The following is a 22,634-nucleotide window of genomic DNA, read 5'->3' as shown; positions in this document are numbered from 1 at the left end:
TTCAAGCTCCTTGACATGGTTTCCAAGGCGTTCCAGTGATCTGTCTCCCAGCCCCTCCTCCAGCCTTATATCCTGCCTCACCTTCTGTATACTGTGGGATTCTTACTCTGTTGCTTTTACTCATTCTACCCCTCTGCCTTGGAATTCCAATTCTGCCTTTGCCCAGGTAATTTTTATTTGCCTTTTAACACTCAGCTCAGAGTTCTTTATATTATGCATACAAATTCTTTATCCAGAGATATGATTTGCAAGTATTTTCTCATGGTATGTGGTTTGCATTTTCATCCTCTTTAACAATATCTTTGGATGAGCAATTTTTACTTCTGATGAAGTCCAGTATCAGTTGTTCTTTAATGTATTGTGCTTTAGGTGTCAAGTCTAACAAACTGTTCCCACACCTAAGGTCACCAATATTTCATTATTTGCTTCTAGAAGTTTTATAGTTTTAGTTTTTATACTTAACTCTATGATGCATTTTGAGTTAATTTTTATGTAAGGTGCAAGGTATGATCACAATTTGTTATTCTTTAGACATATATTCTTCCAGCATTATGCTGAAAAGACCTTATTTCTTTAATTAATTGCTTTTGCACCTTTGTTGAAAATGTATTGAATATATATATCTGGGTCAATTTCAGCGATTTGTTGTGTTCTATTCATCTACAAGCATACCTCAGAGATAATGTAGATTTGGTTCAGACCACCACAGTGGAGTGAATATGGCTATATAGGGAGTCCCATGAATTTTTTAGTTTCCTGGTATATAAAAGTTATGTTTATACTGTAGGCTACTAAATGCAATAGCATTGTGTCTAAAAAAAACTATGAATATATCAATTAAAAATACTTCATTGCTAAAAAATGCATGCTAACAATCATCTGAGCCTTCAGCGAGTCATAATCTTTTTGCTGATCTTACTTTGATGTTGATGTCTGCTGATTGATCAGGGTTGTTTTTGCCAAAGGTTGAAGTGGCTGTGTCTATTTCTTTTTATTATTATTATTATTATTATTATACTTTAAGTTCTGGGATACATGTGCGTAACGTGCAGGTTTATTATGTAGGTATACACGTGCCATGGTGGTTTGCTGCACCCATCACCCCATCATCTACATTAGGTATTTCTCCCAATGCTATCCTTCCCCTAGCCCCCCACCCCGCAACATGCCACGGTGTGTGATGTTCCCCTCCTTGTGTTCTCATTGTTCAACTCCCACATATGAGTGAGAACATACAGTGTTTGGTTTTCTCTTCCTGTGTTAGTTTGCTGAGAATGATGGTTTCCAGCTTCATCCATGTCCATGCAAAGGACATGAACTCATCCATTTTTATGGTTGCATAGTATTCTATGCTGTATATGTGCCCCATTTTCTTTATCCAGTCTATCACTGATGGGCATTTGGGTTGGTTCCAAGTCTTTGCTATTGTGAATAGTGCTGCAATAAACATACGTGTGCATGTGTCTTTACAACAGAATGGTTTATAATCCTTTGGGTGTATATCCAGAAATGGGATTGCTGGGTCAAATGCTATTTCTGGTTCTAGATCCTTGAGGAATTACCACACTGTCTTCCACAAAGGTTGAACTAATTTACACTCTCACCAACAGTGTAAAAGCGTTTCTATTTCTCCACATCCTCTCCAGCATCTGTTGTTTCCTGATTTTTTAATGATCATCATTCTAACTGGCATGAGATGGTATCTCATTGTGGTTTTGATTTGCATTTCTCTAATGACCAGTGATGAGCTTTTTTTCATATGTTGGCTGCATAAATGTCTTCATTTGAGAAGTGTCTGTTCATATACTTTGCCCACTTTTTGATGGGGCTGTTTGTTTTTTTCTTGTAAATGTGTTTAAGTTCCTTGTAGATTCTGGACAGTAGCCCTTTGTCAGATGAACAGATTGCAAAAATTTTCTCCCATTCTATAGGTTGCCTGTTCACTCTGATGATAATTTCTCTTTTGCTATGCAGAAGCTTTTTAGTTTAATTAGATCGCATTTGTCAATTTTGGCTTTTGTTGCCATTGCTTTTGGTCTTTTAGTCATGAAGTCTTTGCCTATGCCTATATCCTGAATGATATTGCTGAGGTTTTCTTCTAGAGTTTTTATGGTTTTAGGTCTTACATTTATGTCTTTATCCATCTTGAGTTAATTTTTGTATAAGATGAAAGGAAGGGGTCCAGTTTCTGTTTTCTGCATATGGCTAGCCAGTTTTCCCAATACCATTTATTAAATAGGGAATCCTTTCACCATTGCTTGTTTTTGTCAGGTTTGTCAAAGATCAGATGGTTGGAGATGTGTGCCTTTACTTGTGAGGCCTCTGTTCTGTTCCATTGATCTATACTGTTTTAATTTGGGACATTTACAGAAATGATATTCATTTTAAATTACTATTACAAGTACAAAGTTTTGGAGAAACTTTTAACTGGCCACCATTTAGCCATACTTTTATTATCATAATAAAATTATTAGTATAGATTAATTACAAATGCTTTAGTGAAATTACCAGGAAATCCTATCAGCGTGAAAATTTATGAAGTAGTACAACTATATACTTTATAATTTGTTTAAAAATTTAAAAATTATATACCTAAAGCTTTCGAATTCAGTCTGAATTTTTAATTTTTTGTAAAGCTATAAATATTTATTCTTTCCTACTAGGGAATTTAGGAAAATGTAAAAGGCCAAGAGTAATAGCAGGAATCTTTGGAAGAACAGGATCTTTATACAAAATATTTTAGCCCCTCAAATCCCAAAGAAGCCTGGATATTATTTTTGTGACTTTGTTTTATAAAGACTTTGAATTAATTGCCATAACAATGACCTAGTAAAAGCGCTCTTATTCACGTTTCACTAAGAAGATATATTTATGTAAAATCTTTATGCTTTATAAATAAATATTTATTCAGCATAGGTAAATATGGTACTTGAAAATCTGGGTAGTTGGAAAGCTGGCATTTTTATTTTTAAAAATTGAGCGAGAAAAGAAATCAAAGGAAAGTTGAGACAAAAATAATTGGTCAATTAATTGTTAAATAATTTGTTAAACTAGAGACAGAACAATTTATCACTGCTTTTTACTTTGGAAAGACAGATAATAGAAAAAGTACATGGTTTTTGGAGCTACAGTCACTTGGATTTGAATCCTGGCTTTGCCACTTGCTAACTTGTAAGGGCTTGTTACTTAAGCTTTCTGAGTCTCATTTTTCTCATTTGTACACTGTGGATATATTTATTTTGTTTAGCACATGCAGAATTTATTAGGTGCTGAATTTCAGTCATTCCCAAATATTCATTGAGAAACTGCTAGTGAACAAGTAATAAAGATGGACTAAGCCCTGGTGCTCTCCAACACATAGAGGTCAGCTAGATAGGAGAAAACCATCGAAGGAGACTGAGAGGGAGTAGCCAGTGAGGTAGGAAGAAAGGCAAGTAATGAAAGCATTCCAGAGTGTAGGATGTGACAAACTGTGTCAAATACTGTTGGTCAGGTAAGGTGAGGGCTGAGAATAATTAACCAGTGGACTTAGCAACATGGAGGTAGTAAGGGATTTTAATGAGCAGCTTTGGTGGAATGAAAACCTAATTGGTTGTGGATTTAAAAGAGACTGTAGGAGAGGAAGTAAAAATGGAAATGGAAAAGAAAGACATTTCTTTTGAATTTTGTTGTGAAGGGAACAGACCAATGGGAACTCTCGAAAGAGCATGCCCTTTCTAGTTTGCTACTCTATCATATTCTCTTGTCACACCACTTCTACTTCATTCCTTCATTGATCATCTGCCAGGTCCCTGTAGGTATTTGAATTTTCATCTGTACCATAAAGGTTCTCTCGGACCATGCAATCAAAGCATCTGGTATAGGACTAAAAGGGGTAGTTGCTGTTGTTATTGATTAAAAAGAATAATAAATAATGGCAGCAATATGATAGAAAGGCAGTTGGTATCTTAGGAATAGAACACTTTTTATTCTAGTGTCTTACCACTGGAAATGCTCAGGTGTATACACTACTATTTGAATAATTCCTCATCATCCTTGTGTTTAAAAAAATGCTCATCAGTGTGGCACATTAACACATTCTATAATCTTTTCATTTTAAATTTAATGAAAAATAAATACAGTTGATCCATAAACAACACAGGTTTGAACTGCACGAGTCTACTTATATGTGGATTTTTTTCAACAGAAGGATTGAAAATGCAGTATTTGCAAGAGGTGAAACTCACATCTACAGAGATTTGACTTTTCCTATAAGCAGGTTCCACAGGGCTGACTGCAGGACTTGAGCATGCATGGATTTGAGTACACACAGGGATTTGAGTACCAATCCCTTGTGTATACCAAGGGCTATTTGCATTGAGCCAGACATTGTTTTAGGTGCTAGGGGTCCTACAGAGCTATACAACTTAGTTCCCTCTTTTTCAAATTTATGATTTGATGGAAGATAAGTACCCAAATAACCATAACTTTGGGGGAACAAAGGTTGCCGGAAGGAGGCATCAGGAAATGCCTCCTAGTGGAAAGTGGTATTTGAGGTGGCTCTTTACACATTGGTAAGATTCTTTGGAGCTTGAGTCAGAGGGTTTTATAGGAAATAGTAGAAATAATAGCAGTGAAAGCTTAGAGACAGGAAAGCATCTAAATAATTAAAAGAACTGATTAGTGTGAACATCTTTGTGGCTAGTTCAAATTGTTGTGTTGTCATTTTAGTGAACCACATGCAAAGTGAATAACACAGCCTGAATCTGTTTATAAAACATGGTTCATTTGATTTTATTTTATACTAGGCCTATAGTTAGTTTTAAGTAGCTGTAGTTCTCAGATTCCTGATATTAATCTCTGTTCCTATAAAATTTCCTAGTTTTAAATTTTATTTTACATATTTTAATGAAAAATTTAAAATTAAATTTGTGTCTAATTAACTAATGCTTTGGGGAGAATAAGAACTTTATATTGGTATTTCCAATATTCAAAATTTATTAAATCTTTGTCCACTATATTCCTGGAACAAAATGACACATATTCTCATTGCTTTGATTGATACTTCTTTATATGCTCTTCTGGTTCTAAGTCTTGAAACAGGGTTAATTTAATCAGTGTGTCTTTGTAAAACTCATTTTTAGAAAATCTGAAACAAAAAATTTATATGATGAAACTCTAAAAGTAATTGCATGATTCTCCTCCCCCACAGAAATATCTTGTAAGTTCAAGATAAGAGATCACATTTGTCAAAATCATTTCTCTCTGTCTTTAGGAAATGGAGTTGTTTTTTCCTTCAAGTGGAGGTTGTGGGCCGGCAAACACTGCTAAATTTACTAATTGTACCTGTTGCATTGTTAAACCCCATGCTGTCAGTGAAGGTATGTTGAATACACTATATTCAGTACATTTTGTTAATAGGAGAGCAATGTTTATTTTCTTGATGTACTTTATGTATAGAAAATAAAGTATACTTTTAGTATTTCCATTTTTTTTCTTTGAAGGCACTTGAGTAAAGGTGACAAAATATAAGGGAAAATCTGTCTAAATCTCTATTTGTCTTTTCTTTGTGGATTTTTAGGAGGTGTTCTTTGAGTTGCTGATCATGCTCAGGCTCAGTCATACTGTTACAGATCTTGGCTAATTGACTTTTAGTCTGCCTTCTCTCTTTCTAATCACAAATTGTGATTCACTTAATTTACTTCAATAGCACTTTTTTTTTTTTTTTTTGAGACAGAGTCTAGTTCTGTTGTCCAAGCTGGAGTGCAGTGGCATGATCTCGAGTTACTGCAACCTCAGCCTCCCGAGTAGCTGGGACTACAGGCACATGCCACCATGCCCAGCTAATTTTTGTATTTTTAGTAGAGACAGGGTTTCACCATATTGGTCAGGCTGGTCTCAAACTCCTGACCTCAGATGATCTACCCACCTCGGCCTCCCAAAGTGCTGGGATTATAGGCATGAGCCACTGTGCCCAGCCAATAGCACTCCTGTTGTACAAATTAAAACAATGTCTGCCATACCTCTAGTATACCCTTTCTGAGAAGGCTGGAGAAATTTCCTTCAGTTCTTTGTATCTGAAACAGTTCTTTGACATATGTATGTATATACATGTTTGCATATATATACATATATAAAGAGAAAGAGTTTGCAAGTTCTTTTCTTATTTTTGTCTCAATTTCTTTATTTTATTTATTTTAGTCTGGTATATATATTTTTGTTAGGTATCTCAAATCTTTTTGGAAGTAAGATGGGGTATGGTTAAAAAGATCACCCTTAAAAAACTAGAATATACTAAATAATATACAGAAGTGATTGGATTTTAAAATTTTATGTCTCCTAAGTATCCAAGTAATCCATGTATATAGTAGAAAATTGGAAATAAAAAACCATTAAAAATGAAGTAAAAAAATACTGAATTCCCATCACCTGAAGATAGTCATTGTTAATGTTTTGATGCATTTCCTCCAAATCATTTTTTTCTGCATTTGTATGTGCATGTGTGTACACTGCTACACATGAATGTAATGGTTGAGATGTAGGTCTATAGGCTGTTGTTTAAATATAATTTTTGTGAGCATTTCTGGCTGCTGTTAAGTCCTCATTAATATTTTAATAGATTCTTTAATATTTAACAGCAATTGTATAGATGTAGTATGGTATTTGGATACTTAGGTTGTTTTCAGTGTTTTGATATTAAAATTAAAACTTTGAAGAATATCTTTATACGTAAATATTTGATGATATCTCTAATCTTTTCCTCTGGCTAGTTTCCTAGAAATAGAATTACTTGTTGGAAGGATATGAGCCTTAAAGATCTTGCTGCATAATTAATACTTCTTTAATTTTTTAGGAAGTATTTTAGTATATTGTAAATCCTTAGGACCATGATTATAAGTAACTAACATGCAGCATGGATAACAAACACTTATGGAGAATATACCATTATGTGCCAGGTGGCAGACTGGTTCCTTATACATTATTTTTAATCTTCACAGCAAGTATGTCAAGTAGGTAAATTTGTTGCTCTTTTCCAGATAGGCAAGCTAAGGTTCCATGAGATTAAGTTGTTTCTCCTAATTTGGAATGGAAATTGAGGATGCAAACCCTGTTTGTTTGTTTGTTTGTTTTTAATCTCCATTCTGTTCCCTCTATACTCTATTGCCCTAATAGCAATAGCCACAAAAAAGTCACATGGCACATGATTAGTAACAATTCCATAGGAAGTGATAGTAATATTTGAAATGGCTGGTGTTGAAAATTTATGGAAAAAAACCTGGGATTTTATGTTTCACTCATTTTTCTTAGCTGGAGAGATTGTGTATGTGTATGTGAGTGTCTACACAGGTGTGGTATCCCTAATCCAAAAATCTGAAACCCAAATTACTCCAAACTCCAAAACTTTTTGAGCACAGACATGAAGCTCAAAGGAAATGGTCGTTGTAGCATTTTCAACCACTGGTTTATGTTTATTGGATTTTTGAATTGGGTATGCTCCACAAATACGTATCTACAGATATTTCAAAATCAAAAAAAAAATTGAAATCCAAAACACTGCTTGTCACAAGCATTTCTGTAAGGAATATTCAACCTGTACACACACACATGCACATACATACACCCGTGTATATTTGTGTACATATACATATATACATAAACACACATAGTACACTCACATTTTGAAAAAGTTCTTGTTTATAGGCATCAACTTTTTAAAAAGCTTATCCTTGACACCCTAAAATGTTTTATTCAATTTACCTGATCTAATCCTTTTCAAGGAAAAATATGTTGCAAGGAGAGTGAAATAAAATAAAGTGGTACTAGAATAAATACTAGTTGTATACCTTAATAATTGCACATATAGCTGGGAGAACTGATAGCCACATGGAGAAAATTGACACGGGACCCCTTCCTTATACCGTATACAAAAATTAACTTAAGATGAATTAAAGACTTAAATGTAAAACCCAAAACTATAAAAACCCTAGTAGAAAATCTAGTCAATAGCATTCAGGACATAGGCATGGGCAACAATTTTGTGAACAAAATGTGAAAAGCAATTACAACAAAAACAAAAATTGCCAGATTGGATCTAATTAAACTAAAGAGCTTCTGTACAGCAAAATGAACTATCATCAGAGTGAACAGACAACCTACAGAATGAGAGAAAATTTTTGCAATCTATCCATTTCACAAAGGTTTAATATCTGGAATCTACAAGGGACTTAAATTTACAAGAAAAAACAACCTCATTAAAAAGTGGTCAAAGGACATGGACAGACCCTTCTCAAAAGAAGACATTCATGCACCCAACAAACACATGAAAAAAAGCTGAAGTCAAATTGCTAACTAGAATAACCAATGCAGAGAAGAACATGAATGACCTGATGGAGCTGAAAAGCATAGCACAAGAACTTTGTGAAGAATACACAACTATCAATAGTCAAATCAATCAAGTAGAAGAAAGGATGTCAGTGACTGAAGATCAACTTAATGAAATAAAAAGAGAAGACCAGATTAGAGAAAAAAGAATAAAAAGAAATGAACAAAGCCTCCAAGAAATATGGGATTATGTGAAAAGACAAATCTGCGTTTGATTGGTGTACCTGAAAGTGACGGGGAGAATGGGACCAAGTCGGAAAACACTCTTCAGGATATTATCCAGGAGAACTTCCCCAAACTAGCAAAACAGACCAACATTCAAATTCAGGAAATACAGAGAACACCACAAAGATGCTCCTCGAGAAGAGCAACCCCAAGACACATAATCATTAGATTCACCAAGGTTGAAATGAACAAAAAAATGTTAAGGGCAGCCAGAGAGAAAGGTTGGGTTACCCACAAAGAGAAGCCCATTCAGACTAACAGCAGATATCTTTGCAGAAACCCTACAAGCCAGAAGAGAGTGGGGGCCAATATTCAACATTCTTAAAGAAAAGAATTTTCAACCCAGAATTTCATATCCAGCCAAACTAAGCTTCATAAGTGAAGGAGAAATAAAATCCTTTACAGACAAGCAAATGCTGAGGGAATTTGTCACCACCAGACCTGCCTTACGAGAGCTCTTGAAAGAAGCACTAAATATGAAAAGGAACAACCAGTACCAGCCACTGCAAAAACATACCAAATTGTAAAGAACATCGACACTATGAAGAAACTGCATTAACTAATGGGCAAAACAACCAGCTAACATCATAATGACAGGATCAAATTCACAACTAACAGTATTAACCTTAAATGTAAACAAGCTAAATGCCCCAGTTAAAAGACATAGACTGGCAAATTGGGTAAAGAGTCAAGACCCATCAGTGTGCTGTATTCAGGAGACCCATCTCACTTGCAAAGACACATATAGGCTCAAAGTAAAGGGATGGAGGAATATTTACCAAGCAAATGGAAAGCAAAAAAAGCAGGAGTTGTAATCCGAATCTCTGATAAAACAGACTTTAAACCAACAAAGATAAAAAGAGACAAAGAAGGGCATTACATTAATGGTAAAGGGAACAATGCACAAGAAGTACTGACTATCCTAAATATGTATGCACCCAATACAAGCGCACCCAGATTCATAAAGTACATGCTTAGAGGCCTACAAAGTGACTTAGACTCCCACACAATAAAAGTGGGAGAATTTAACACCCCAGTGTCAATATTAGACAGATCAACGAGATAGAAAAATAACAAGGATATTCAGGACTTGAACTCAGCTCTAAACCAAGCAGACCTAATAGACCTCCACAGAACTCTCCACCTCAAATCAACAGAATATACATTCTTCTCAGCACCTCATCACACTTATTCTAAAATTGACCACATAATTGGAAGTAAAACACTCCTGACCAAGTGCAAAAGAATGGAAATTATAACAGTCTCTCAGACCACAGTGCAATCAAATTAGAACTCAGGATTAATAAACTCACTCAAAACTGCACAAAATACATGGAAACTGAACAACCTGCTCCTGAATGACTACTGGATAAATAACAAAATAAAGGCAGAAATAAAGATGTTCTTTGAAACCAATGAGAACGAAGATACATCATACCAGAATCTCAGGGACACATTTAAAGTAGTCTTTAGATGGAAAATTATAGCTCTAAATGCCCACAAGAGAAAGCAGGAAAGATCTAAAATTGATACCCTAACATCAAAATTGAAAGAACTAGAGAAGCAACAGCAAACAAATTCAAAAGCTAGCAGAAGACATGAAATAACTAACATCAGAGCAGAACTGAAGGAGATAGAGACACAAAAAACCCTTCAAAAAATCAATGAATCCGTGAACTGGTTTTTTGAAAAAATCATCAAAATAGATAGACTGCTAGCCAGACTAATAAAGAAGAAAAGAGAGAAGAATCAAATAGATTCAATAAAAAATGATATAGAGGATATCACCACTGATCCTGTAGAAACACAAACTACCGTCAGAGAATATTTTAAACACCTCTACGCAAATAAACTAGAAAATCTAGAAGAAATGGATAAATTCCTGGACACATACATCCTCCCAAGTCTAAGCCAGGAAGAAGTAGAACCCCTGAACAGACCAATAACAGGTTCTGAAATTGAGGCAATAATTAATAGCTTACCAACCAAAAAAAGTCCAGGACCAGACAGATTCACAGCCAAATTCTACCAGAGGTACAAAGAGGAGCTGGTACCATTCCTTCTGAAACTGTTCCAAACAATAGAAAAAGAGGGAATCCTTCCTAACTCATAAAATGAGGCCAGCATCATCCTGATACCAAAACCTGGAAGAGACACAACAAAAAAAGAAAATTTCAGGCCAATATCCCTGATGAACATCTATGAGAAAATCCACAATAAAATACTGGCAAACCGAATCCAGCAGCACATCAAAAAGCTTATCCATCACAATCAAGTGGCTTCATTGCTGGAATGCAAGGCTGGTTCAACATACACAAATCGATAAACGTAATTCATCACATAAACAAAACCAATGACAAAAAACACATACCTCAATAGATGCAGAAAAGGCCTTCAATAAAATTCAGCACCCCTTCATGCTAAAAACTCTCAATAAACTAGGTATTGATGGAACATATCTCAAAATAATAAGAGCGATTTATGACAAACCCACAGCCAATATCATACTGAATGGGCAAAAGCTTGAAGCATTCCCTTTGAAAACCGGCACAAGACAAGGATGCCCTCTCTCACCACTCCTGTTCAACATAGTATTGGATGTTCTGGCCAGGGCAATAAGGCAAGAGAAAGCAATAAAGGGTATTCAGATAGGAAGAGAAGAAGTCAAATTGTCTCTGTTTACAGATGACATTATTGTATATTTAGAAAACCCCATTGTCTTAGCCCAAAACCTCCTTATGCTGATAAGCAACTTCAGCAAAGTCTCAGGATACAAAATCAGTATGCAAAAATTACAAGCATTCTTACACACCAATAATGGACAGAGAGCCAAATTGTGCATCAACTCCCATTCACAGTTGCTACTAAGAGAATAAAATACCTAGGAATACAACTTACAAGGGATATGAAGGACCTCTTCAGGGAGAACTATAAACCACTGCTCAAGGAAATAAGAGAGGACACAAACAAATGGGAAAACATTCCATGCTCATGGATAGGAAGAATCAGTATCACGAAAATGGCCATATTGCTGAAAGTAATTTATAGATTCAATGCTATCCCCATCAAGCTACCATTGACTTTCTTCACAGAATTGGAAAAAAACTACTTTAAACTTCATATGGAACCAAAAAAGAGCCTGCGTAGCCAAGACAATCTTGGGCATGAAGAACAAAGCTGGAGGCATTATGCTACCTGACTTCTAACTATACTACAAGGCTACAGTAACCAAAACAGCATGGTACTTATACCAAAACAGATATGTAGACAAAAGGAACAGAATGTAGGCCTCAGAAATAACACCACACAGCTACAACCATCTGATCTTTGACAAACCTGACACACACAAGCAATGGGGAAAAGATTCCCTATTTAATAAATAGTGTTGGGAAAACTGGCTAGCCATATGCAGAAAACTGAAACTGGACCCCTTCCTTACACCTTTTACAAAAATCAACTCAAGATGGATCAAAGACTTTAATAAGACCTAGGACCATAAAAATCTTAGAAGAAATCCTTGGCAATACCATTCAGGACATAGGAATGGGCAAAGACTTTATGTCTAAAACACCAAAAGCAATGGCAACAAAAGCCATAATTGACATATGGGATCTAATTAAACTAAAGAGTTTCTGCACAGCAAAAGAAACTATCATCAGAGTGAACAGGCAACCTACAGAATAGGAGAAAATTTTTGCAATCTATCCATCTGACAAAGGGCTAATATCTAGAATCTACAAAGAATGTAAACAAACTTACAAGAAAAAAACAAACAACCCCATCAAAAAATGGGCAAAGGATATGAACAGACACTTCTCAAAAGAAGTGCAGCCAACAGACATATGAAAAAATGCTCCTCATCCCTGGTCATTAGAGAAATGCAAATCAAAATTACAATGAGATACCATCTTACACCAGTTAGATTGGTGATTATTAAAAAGTCAGGACATGACAGATGCTGGAGAGGTTGTGGAAAAATGGGAACGCTTTTACACTGTTGGTGGGAGTATAAATTAGTTCAACCATTGTGGAAAACAGTGTGGTGATTCCTCAAGGATCTAGAATTGGAAATACCATTTGGCCCAGCAATCCCATTACTAGGCATATACCCAAAGGGTTATAAATCATTCTGCTGTAAAGACAGATTCACATGTATGTTAACGCAGCACTATTCACAATAGCACAGACTTGGAACCAAGCCAAATGCCCATCAATGATAGACGAATTAAGAAAATGTGGGGAGGAGCCAAGATGGCCGAATAGGAACAGCTCCAGTCTACAGCTCCCAGTGTGAGTGACACAGAAGATGGGTGATTTCTGCATTTCCATCTGAGGTACCGGGTTCATCTCACTAGGGAGTGCCAGACAGTGGGCGCAGGACAGTGGGTGCAGCGCATCATGCGCGAGCCGAAGCAGGGCGAGGCATTGCCTCACTCGGGAAGTGCAAGGGGTCAGGGAGTTCCCTTTCCTGGTCAAGGAAAGGGGTGACAGACGGCACCTGGAAAATCGGGTCACTCCCACCCAAATACTGTGCTTTTCTGATGGCTTAGGAAATGGCGCACCAGAAGGTCATATCCCGCACCTGGCTTGGAGGGTCCTATGCCCACAGAGTCTCGTTGATTGCTAGCACAGCAGTGTGAGATCAAACTGCAAGTTGGCAGCAAGGCTGGGGGAGGGGATCCTGCCATTGCCCAGGCTTGCTTAGGTAAACAAAGCAGCCTGGAAGCTCGAACTGGGTGGAGCCCACCACAGCTCAAGGAGGCCTGCCTGCCTCTGTAGGCTCCACCTCTGGGGGCAGAGCACAGACAAACAAAAAGACAGCGGTAACCTCTGCAGACTTAAATGTCCCTGTCTGACAGCTTTGAAGAGAGCAGTGGTTCTCCCAGCACCCAGGGGGAGATCTGAGAACGGGCAGACTGCCTCCTCAAGTGGGTCCCTGACCCCTGACCCCCAAGCAGCCTAACTGGGAGGCACCCCCACAGGAGGGGCAGACTGACACCTCACACGGCCAGGTACTCCTCTGAGACAAAACTTCAAGAGGAACAATCAGTCAGCAGCATTCACAGTTCATGAAAATCCACTGTTCTGCAGACACCGCTGCTGATACCCAGGCAAACAGGGTCTGGAGTGGACCTCTAGCAAACTCCAACAGACCTGCAGCGGAGGGTCCTGTCTGTTAGAAGGAAAACTAACAAACAGAAAGAACATCCACACCAAAAACCCATCTGTACATCACCATCATCAAAGATCAAAAGTAGATAAAACCACAAAGATGGGGAAAAAACACAGCAGAAAAACTGGAAACTCTAAAAAGCAGAGTGCCTCTCCTCCTCCAAAGGAACGCAGTTCCTCACCAGCAATGGAACAAAGCTGGATGGAGAATGACTTTGACGAGTTGAGAGAAGGCTTCACATGATCAAACTACTGCAAGCTATAGGAGGAAATTCAAATCAAAGGCAAAGAAGGTGAAAACTTTGAAAAAAATTTCGACGAATGTATAACTAGAATAACCAATACAGAGAAGTGCTTAAAGGAGCTGATGGAGCTGAAAGCCAAAGCTCGAGAACTACGTGAAGAATGCAGAAGCCTCAGGAGTCGATGCGATCAACTGGAAGAAAGGGTTTCAGTGATGGAAGATGAAATGAATGAAATGAAGTGAGAAGGGAAGTTTAGAGAGAAAAGAATAAAAAGAAACAAACAAAGCCTCCAAGAAATATGGGACTATGTGAAAAGACCAAATCTATGTCTGATTGGTGTACCTGAAAGTGACGGGGAGAATGGAACCAAGTTGGAAAACACTCTGCAGGATATTATCCAGGAGAACTTCCCCAAACGAGCAAGGCAGGCCAACATTCAGATTCAGGAAATACAGAGAATGCCACAAAGATACTCCTCGAGAAGAGCAACTCCAAGACATATAATTGTCAGATTCACCAAAGTTGAAATGAAGGAAAAAATGTTAAGGGCAGCCAGAGAGAAAGGTCGGGTTACCCACAAAGGGAAGCCCATCAGACTAACAGCGGATCTCTCGGCAGAAACTCTACAAGTCAGAAGAGAGTGGGGGCCAATATTCACCATTCTTAAAGAAAAGAATTTTCAACCCAGAATTTCATATCCAGCCAAACTAAGCTTCATAAGCGAAGGAGAAATAAAATACTTTACAGACAAGCAAATGCTGAGAGATTTTGTCACCACCAGGCCTGCCCTAAAAGAGCTCCTGAAGGAAGCGCTAAACATGGAAAGGAACAACTGGTACCAGCCGCTGCAAAATCATGCCAAAATGTAAAGACCATCAAGACTAGGAAGAAACTGCATCAACTAACGAGCAAAATAACCAGCTAACATCATAATGACAGGATCAAATTCACATATAACAATATTAACTTTAAATGTAAATGGACTAAATGCTCCAATTAAAAGACACAGACTGGCAAATTGGATAAAGAGTCAAGACCCATCAGTGTGCTGTATTCAGGAAACCCATCTCACGTGCAGAGACACACATAGGCTCAAAATAAAAGGATGGAGGAAGATCTACCAAGCAAATGGAAAACAAAAAAAGGCAGGGGTTGCAATCCTAGTCTCTGATAAAACAGACTTTAAACCAACAAAGATCAAAAGAGACAAAGAAGGCCATTACATATTGGTAAAGGGATCAATTCAACAAGAAGAGCTAACTATCCTAAATATATTGCACCCAATACAGGAGCACCCAGATTCATAAAGCAAGTCCTGAGTGACCTACAAAGAGACTTAGACTCCCACACAATAATAATGGGAGACTTTAACACCCCACTGTCAACATTAGACAGATCAACGAGACAGAAAGTCAACAAGCATACCCAGGAATTGAACTTAGCTCTGCACCAAGCGGACCTAATAGACATCTACAGAACTCTCCACCCCAAATCAACAGAATATACATATTTTCAGCACCACCCCACACCTATTCCAAAATTGACCACATAGTTGGAAGTAAAGCTCTCCTCAGCAAGTGTAAAAGAACAGAAATTATAACAAACTGTCTCTCAGACCACAGTGCAATCAAACTAGAACTCAGGATTAAGAAACTCACTCAAAACCACTCAACTACATGGAAACTGAACAGTCTGCTCCTGAATGACTACTGGGTACATAACGAAATGAAGGCAGAAATAAAGATGTTCTTTGAAACCAACGAGAACAAAGAGACAACATACCAGAATCTCTGGGACACATTCAAAGCAGTGTGTAGAGGGAAATTTATAGCACTAAATGGCCACAAGAGAAAGCAGGAAAGATCCAAAATTGACACCCTAACATCACAATTAAAAGAACTAGAAAAGCAAGAGCAAACAACATTCAAAAGCTAGCAGAAGGCAAGAAATAACTAAGATCAGAGCAGAACTGAAGGAAATAGAGACCAAAAAACCCTTCAAAAAATCAACGAATCCAGGAGCTGGTTTTTTGAAAGGATCAGCAAAATTGATAGACCGCTAGCAAGACTAATAAAGAAAAAAAGAGAGAAGAATCTAATAGACGCAATAAAAACTGATAAAGGGGATATCACCACCGATCCCACAGAAATACAAACTACCATCAGAGAATACTACAAACACCTCTACGCAAATAAACTAGAAAATCGAGAAGAAATGGATAAATTCCTCGACACATACACTCTCCCAAGACTAAACGAGGAAGAAGTCGAATCTCTGAATACACCAATAACAGGCTCAGAAATTGTAGCAATAATCAATAGCTTACCAACCAAAAAGAGTCCAGGACCAGATGGATTCACAGCCGAATTGTACCAGAGGTACAAGGAGGAACTGGTACCATTCCTTCTGAAACTATTCCACTGAATAAAAAAAGAGGGAATCCTCCCTAACTCATTTTATGAGGCCAGCATCATCCTGATACCAAAGTCGGGCAGAGACACAACCAAAAAAGAGAATTTTAGACCAATATCCTTGATGAACATTGATGCAAAAATCCTCAATAAAATACTGGCAAACTGAATCCAGCAAGCACATCAAAAAGCTTATCCACCATGATCAAGTGGGCTTCATCCCTGGGATGCAAGGCCGGTTCAATATACGCAAATCAATAAATGTAATCCAGCATATAAACAGAACCAAAGACAAAAACCACATGATTATCTCAATAGATGCAGAAAAGGCCTTTGACAAAATTCAACAACCCTTCATGCTAAAAACTCTCAATAAATTAGGTATTGATGGGATGTATCTCAAAATAATAAGAGCTATCTATGACAAACCCACAGCCAGTATCACACTGAATGGGCAAAAACTGGAAGCATTCCATTTGAAAACTGGCACAGGACAGGGATGCCCTCTCTCACCACTCCTATTCAACATAGTGTTGGAAGTTCTGGCCAGGGCAATTAGGCAGGAGAAGGAAATAAAGGGTATTCAATTAGGGAAAGAGGAAGTCAAATTGTACCTGTTTGCAGGTGACATGATTGTATATCTAGAAATCCCCATTATCTCAGCCCAAAATCTCCTTAAGCTGATAAGCAACTTCAGCAAAGTCTCAGGATACAAAATCAATGTACAAAAATCACAAGCATTCTTTTTTTTTTTTTTTTTTTTTTTTTTTGAGACGGAGTTTCGCTCTGTCGCCCAGGCTGGAGTGCAGTGGCGCGATCTCGACTCACTGCAAGCTCCGCCTCCCGGGTTCACGCCATTCTCCTGCCTCAGCCTCCTGTGTAGCTGGGACTACAGGCACGCGCCACCATGCCCGGCTAATTTTTGTATTTTTTTTAGTAGAGACGGGGTTTCACCGTGTTCTTATACACCAATAACAGACAAACAGAGAGCCAAATCATGAGTGAGCTCCCATTCACAATTGCTTCAAAGAGAATAAAATACGTAGGAATCCGACTTATAAGGGACGTGAAGGACCTCTTCAAGGAGAACTACAAACCATTGCTCAGTGAAATAAAAGAGGATACAAACAAGTGGAAGAACATTCCATGCTCATGGGTGGGAAGAATCAATATCGTGAAAATGGCCATACTGCCTAAGGTAATTTATAGATTCAATGCCATCCCCATCAAGCTACCAATGCCTTTCTTCACAGAATTGGAAAAAACTACTTTAAATTTCATATGGAACCAAAAAAGAGCCCACATCGCCAACTCAATCCTAAGCCAAAAGAACAAAGCTGGAGGCATCACGCTACCTGACTTCAAACTATACTACAAGGCTACAGTAACCAAAACAGCATGGTACTGGTACCAAAACAGAGAGATAGATGAATGGAACACAACAGAGCCCTCAGAAATAATGCCACATATCTACAACTATCTGATCTTTGACAAACCTGAGAAAAACAAGCAATGGGAAAAGGATTCCCTATTTAATAAGTGGTGCTGGGAAAACTGGCTAGCCATATGTAGAAAGCTGAAACTGGATCCCTTCCTTACACCTTATACAAAAATTAATTCAAGATGGATTAAAGACTTAAACGTTAGACCTAAAACCATAAAAACCCTAGAAGAAAACCTAGGCAATACCATTCAGGACATAGGCATAGGCGACGACTTCATGTCTAAAACACCAAAAGCAATGGCAACAAAAGCCAAAATTGACAGATGGGATCTAATTAAACTAAAGAGCTTCTGCACAGCAAAAGAAACTACCATCAGAGTGAACAGGCAACCTACAAAATGGGAGAAAATTTTCGCAACCTACTCTTCTGACAAAGGGCTAATATCCAGAATCTACAATGAACTCAAACAAATTTACAAGAAAAAAACAAACAACCCCATCAAAAAGTGGACAAAGAATATGAACAGACACTTCTCAAAAGAAGACATTTATGCAGCCAAAAGACACATGAAAAAATGCTCATCATCACTGGCCATCAGAGAAATGCAAATCAAAACCACAATGACATACCATCTCACACCAGTTAGAATGGCAATCATTAAAAAGTCAGGATACAACAGGTGCTGGAGAGGATGTGGAGAAATAGGAACACTTTTACACTGTTGGTGGGACTGTAAACTAGTTCAACCATTGTGGAAGTCAGTGTGGCGATTCCTCAGGGATCTAGAACTAGAAATACCATTTGACCCAGCAATCCCATTACTGGTATAATATATACCTAAAGGACTATAAATCATGCTGCTATAAAGACACATGCACACGTATGTTTATTGCGGCACTATTCACAATAGCAAAGACTTGGAACCAACCCAAATGTCCAACAATGATAGACTGGATTAAGAAAATGTGGCACATATACACCATGGAATACTATGCAGCCATAAAAAATGATGAGTTCATGTCCTTTGTAGGGACATGGATGAAATTGGAAATCATCATTCTCAGTAAACTATCGCAAGGACAAAAAACCAAACACCGCATGTTCTCACTCATAGATGGGAATTGAACAATGAGAACACATGGACACAGGAAGGGGAACATCACACTCTGGGGACTGTTGTGGGGTAGGGGGAGTGGGGAGGGATAGCATTAGGAGATATACCTAATGCTAAATGACGAGTCAATGGGTGCAGCACACCAGCATGGCACATGTATACATATGTAACTAACCTGCACATTGTGCGCATGTACCCTAAAACTTAAAGTATAATAATAAAAAAAAATTAAGAAAAAAATAGAAAAGAAAGTGTGGTGCATATACGCCATGGAATACTATGCAGCCTTAAAAAGTGATGACTTCATTTCCTTTGATTGGACATGGATGAAGCTGGAAACTGTCATTCTCAGCAAACTATCACAAGATCAGAAAACTAAACACTGCATGTTCTCACTCATAAGTCTGAGTTGAACAATGAAAACACATGGACACAGGGAGGGGAACATCACACACTGGGGCCTGTCAGGGGGTGGGAGGCTAGGGGAGGGATGACATTAGGAGAAATACCTAATTATATGTGATAGGTTGATGGGTGCAGCTAACCAGCAGGGCACGTGTATACCTATGTAACAAAACTGCACATTCTGCACATGTAACTTAGAACTTAAAGTATAATAATTTTAAAAAAAGCTCAACATCACTGATCATTAAAGAAATGCAAGTCAAAACCACAATGAGATACCATCTCACGCCAGTTCGAATGGTGATCATTGAAAAGTCAAGAAACAGCCGTTGCTGGTGAGGCTGTGGAGAAAAAGGAACACTTTTACACTGTTACTGGGAGAGTAAAATTAGTTCCTTCATTGTGTATGACAGTGTGGTGATTCCTCAAAGATCTAGAGGCAGAAATACCATTTGACCCAGCAATGCCATTACTGGGTATATACCCAAAGGAATGTAAATCGTTCTATTATAAAAATACATGCACGTGTATGTTCATTGCAGCACGGTTCACAATAGCAAAGACATGGAATCAACCCAAATGCCCATCAATGATAGACTGGATATAGAAAATGTGGTACATATACATGATAGAATACTATGTAGCCATAAAAAGGAACAAGATCATATCCTTTGCAGAGACATGGATGGAGCTGGAAGCCATTATCCTCAGCAAACTGACTCAGGAACAGAAAACCAAACACTGCATGTTTTCACTTACCAGTGGCAGCTGAACAATAGGAATACATGGACACATGGTCAGGGAACAACACACGCTGCGGCCTGTCATGGGGGGCGGGGGGAGGGAGAGCATCAGAAAGAATAGCTAATGGATGCTGGGGTTAATACCTAGATAATGAGTTGATATGTGCAGCAAACCACCATAGCACACATTTACCTATGTAACAAACTTGCACATCATGCACATGTGTCCCAGAAGTTAAAATAAAAGTTGAAGAATAAAAATTGCACATGTAACTAAAACCAAAAAATACTGTATGTAAGTGAAAGTTGATATCAAAATAACTATTAATAATTTTAATATATTATTTTTCTGTTTATACAGGATTTAATGGTTTTTAGAGCTATTTATAGATTATATTTTATATATTTATATTTGATATATAACATTAGGTCATATAACTTAATTAAGGCAAAGAAATTTTTGTAAAAATCTACTCAGATGGCAGAATAAACTTTGGCAACCCAAGGCTTTTTTTTCCTTTTATTTCTAAACCTGTATTTTTGGAATAATTTAAGACCATTTTGAAGTATGTAATTAACCCAGTTCAGATTAAACTGCCATTTTAATGAAATATAGTTTGAAGTCTCATATTGAATTTATTATTAGGTTCACATGGCCCCCTTTCATTTGCTGGTTTATGTTTATCTGTTTCTATAATAATCCCATCTCCTGGTATTAATATATTTAATATTACCTGTAATATAGTATAGGCATGAAAGATTTTTATTTTTATTTTTAAAGATTTTTATTTTAAAAAAGGAGTTGCTGATAAGAGAGCAGCTGAAATGGAATAGGATTATCCCTTCTGTTGACTGCTGACTTCCCAAAAAAAGGCCAGAATATCCTGTTGATGAAGCAAAGCTAAGTTTATTCCTTAATACAATAAAGGGCAAGCACAACCTTGATAGAGCCTTAGTAGACTCTGCAAGGGAGAGTTCAGGGGTAGATATTGCAAAACCTTGAGATGTTTAAGAGCTTTCAATGCAGTCGTCTGATTGAGACGACAGCGTTCATGATATAATAATGGTTGAAGGTTTGTAGCAACAGCAGGCTAAGGATCTTAACCAAGTCTTGTAAATACACAGTTGTTTGATAAATGAGTTGTTTGAGCAGTAGAGGGAGTACTGTGAAAGGGGACTGTTTGAGTACTCTATTGTTGGGGTAAATGGATTTTTGGGAAGTTCCTGAAGCCAACAGTGAAGTTATTTACTGATTTACTGCCTTATCTTTCTGGGCAAGAAACTTCTTGGCACAAGTAGTAGTCATGTGTATGTAGGCGGCCTTAGTTCATAGACCTATAGTTAATCTATGTGGATGCAGTGGTTTCACTTCTCATTTCTAAGAGAGCTAGAACATAAAGAGTTCTTGGTCTGTGAGATAAATTGTGGGAAAAATAAGGTATATTTGAGGCATCTGTGGTCTTTTTAGATATGCAGATTAAAATATATTGTCATTTTAGGACTCAGGTTTTAAAAGGAAAGAAAAACAAGGTGAATGTTCTTGTGTTCTTTTTACTTTAAAAATTATGCAATGTGTTTATTATGTTCTCAGTATTGTTTATAGGTTATAGTTATTAATTCCATCCATAAAATAAATTACTTTTACTCTGAAATCAGGCTGTTTAGGTTTGAATTCTGGCTCTGCCACTTACTAGCTATGGGATATTGGATTAATTACTTCATCTCTTTCTACCTTGTTTCCTTATTTCTAAAATGAGAATAATTCTATACATTTTTCATGGGGTAACTAAGGATTAAGTGCATTAGTGTATGGAAGGTGCTCTAGACAGTTCCCAGCACGTAGTTTAGTGCTGTATAAGTGTTACACATTGTTAGTATTATGATTACTACTCTATTACTACTACTACTGCTGCTGCCACTAATATCATTATCTTTTAATTTTTAAGCAAAGTTGAATGACTGTCTTGTAACAAAGTAATAGTTTTATAATGCTAACAAAAATCCAACATTTACATTCATCATCTACAGGGAGAAAAATGTAGTCATTGTTAAAGGAATAAAGTGCTTTAATTTTTTTCCCCAGTTAAAGCCTAGGTCTGATTTAAGTGCATGAAGTAGGTTTATTGCTTACATCTGGTTGATTCAGTAGCTATTTTTTGATTGCCTATTATGGTTGACACTGGGCAAGAGGAGGTAGCCAAATCTGGGAGAGTGGCTTTTATACTTGTAATGGAGAAACAATTTAGTCTTTTTATTGAGTAGTAGAACCCTGAAATTTTGTTAGAAATTTTCCTTATAACAGATTTATGCATTAAACAATTTTACTGCATTGTTTATAACAGTCCTTTTTGAAGTTTAGTTTCATCAGTAAAATGAGTTAAGATTGTTTTAAAGTTTTATCTGAGCATTTAAACCCAGTTATTCTATTATTCTGTGAAACTGTGTAGAAAATTCTTATAAAGGAAAATTTTGGCCAGGCATGGTGGCTCATGCCAGTAATCCCAGTACTCTAG

General features: G+C 37.2%; 1 protein-coding gene across 3 annotated transcripts in view; it reads left to right on the top strand.

Moving 5' to 3' along the window:
• Nucleotides 1-22,634, top strand: part of NME7 (NME/NM23 family member 7) — a 235,267-nt gene that overhangs the window by 75,135 nt on the left and 137,498 nt on the right. For all 3 annotated transcript variants that reach the window (NR_104229.2, NM_197972.3, NM_013330.5), the window contains exon 7: nt 5,255-5,360. Coding sequence is in view for 2 of the 3 variants with exons in the window: in NM_197972.3 (NP_932076.1) it covers nt 5,255-5,360 (106 nt within the window). In the remaining variant the exon portion in view is untranslated. The remainder of the gene's footprint in view (nt 1-5,254; nt 5,361-22,634) is intronic.

Source organism: Homo sapiens, chromosome 1 (assembly GCF_000001405.40).
Source record: "Homo sapiens chromosome 1, GRCh38.p14 Primary Assembly".
In the NCBI taxonomy this organism is placed as follows: Eukaryota; Metazoa; Chordata; class Mammalia; order Primates; family Hominidae; genus Homo; species Homo sapiens.
This window is presented reverse-complemented; position numbering and strand designations above follow the sequence as displayed.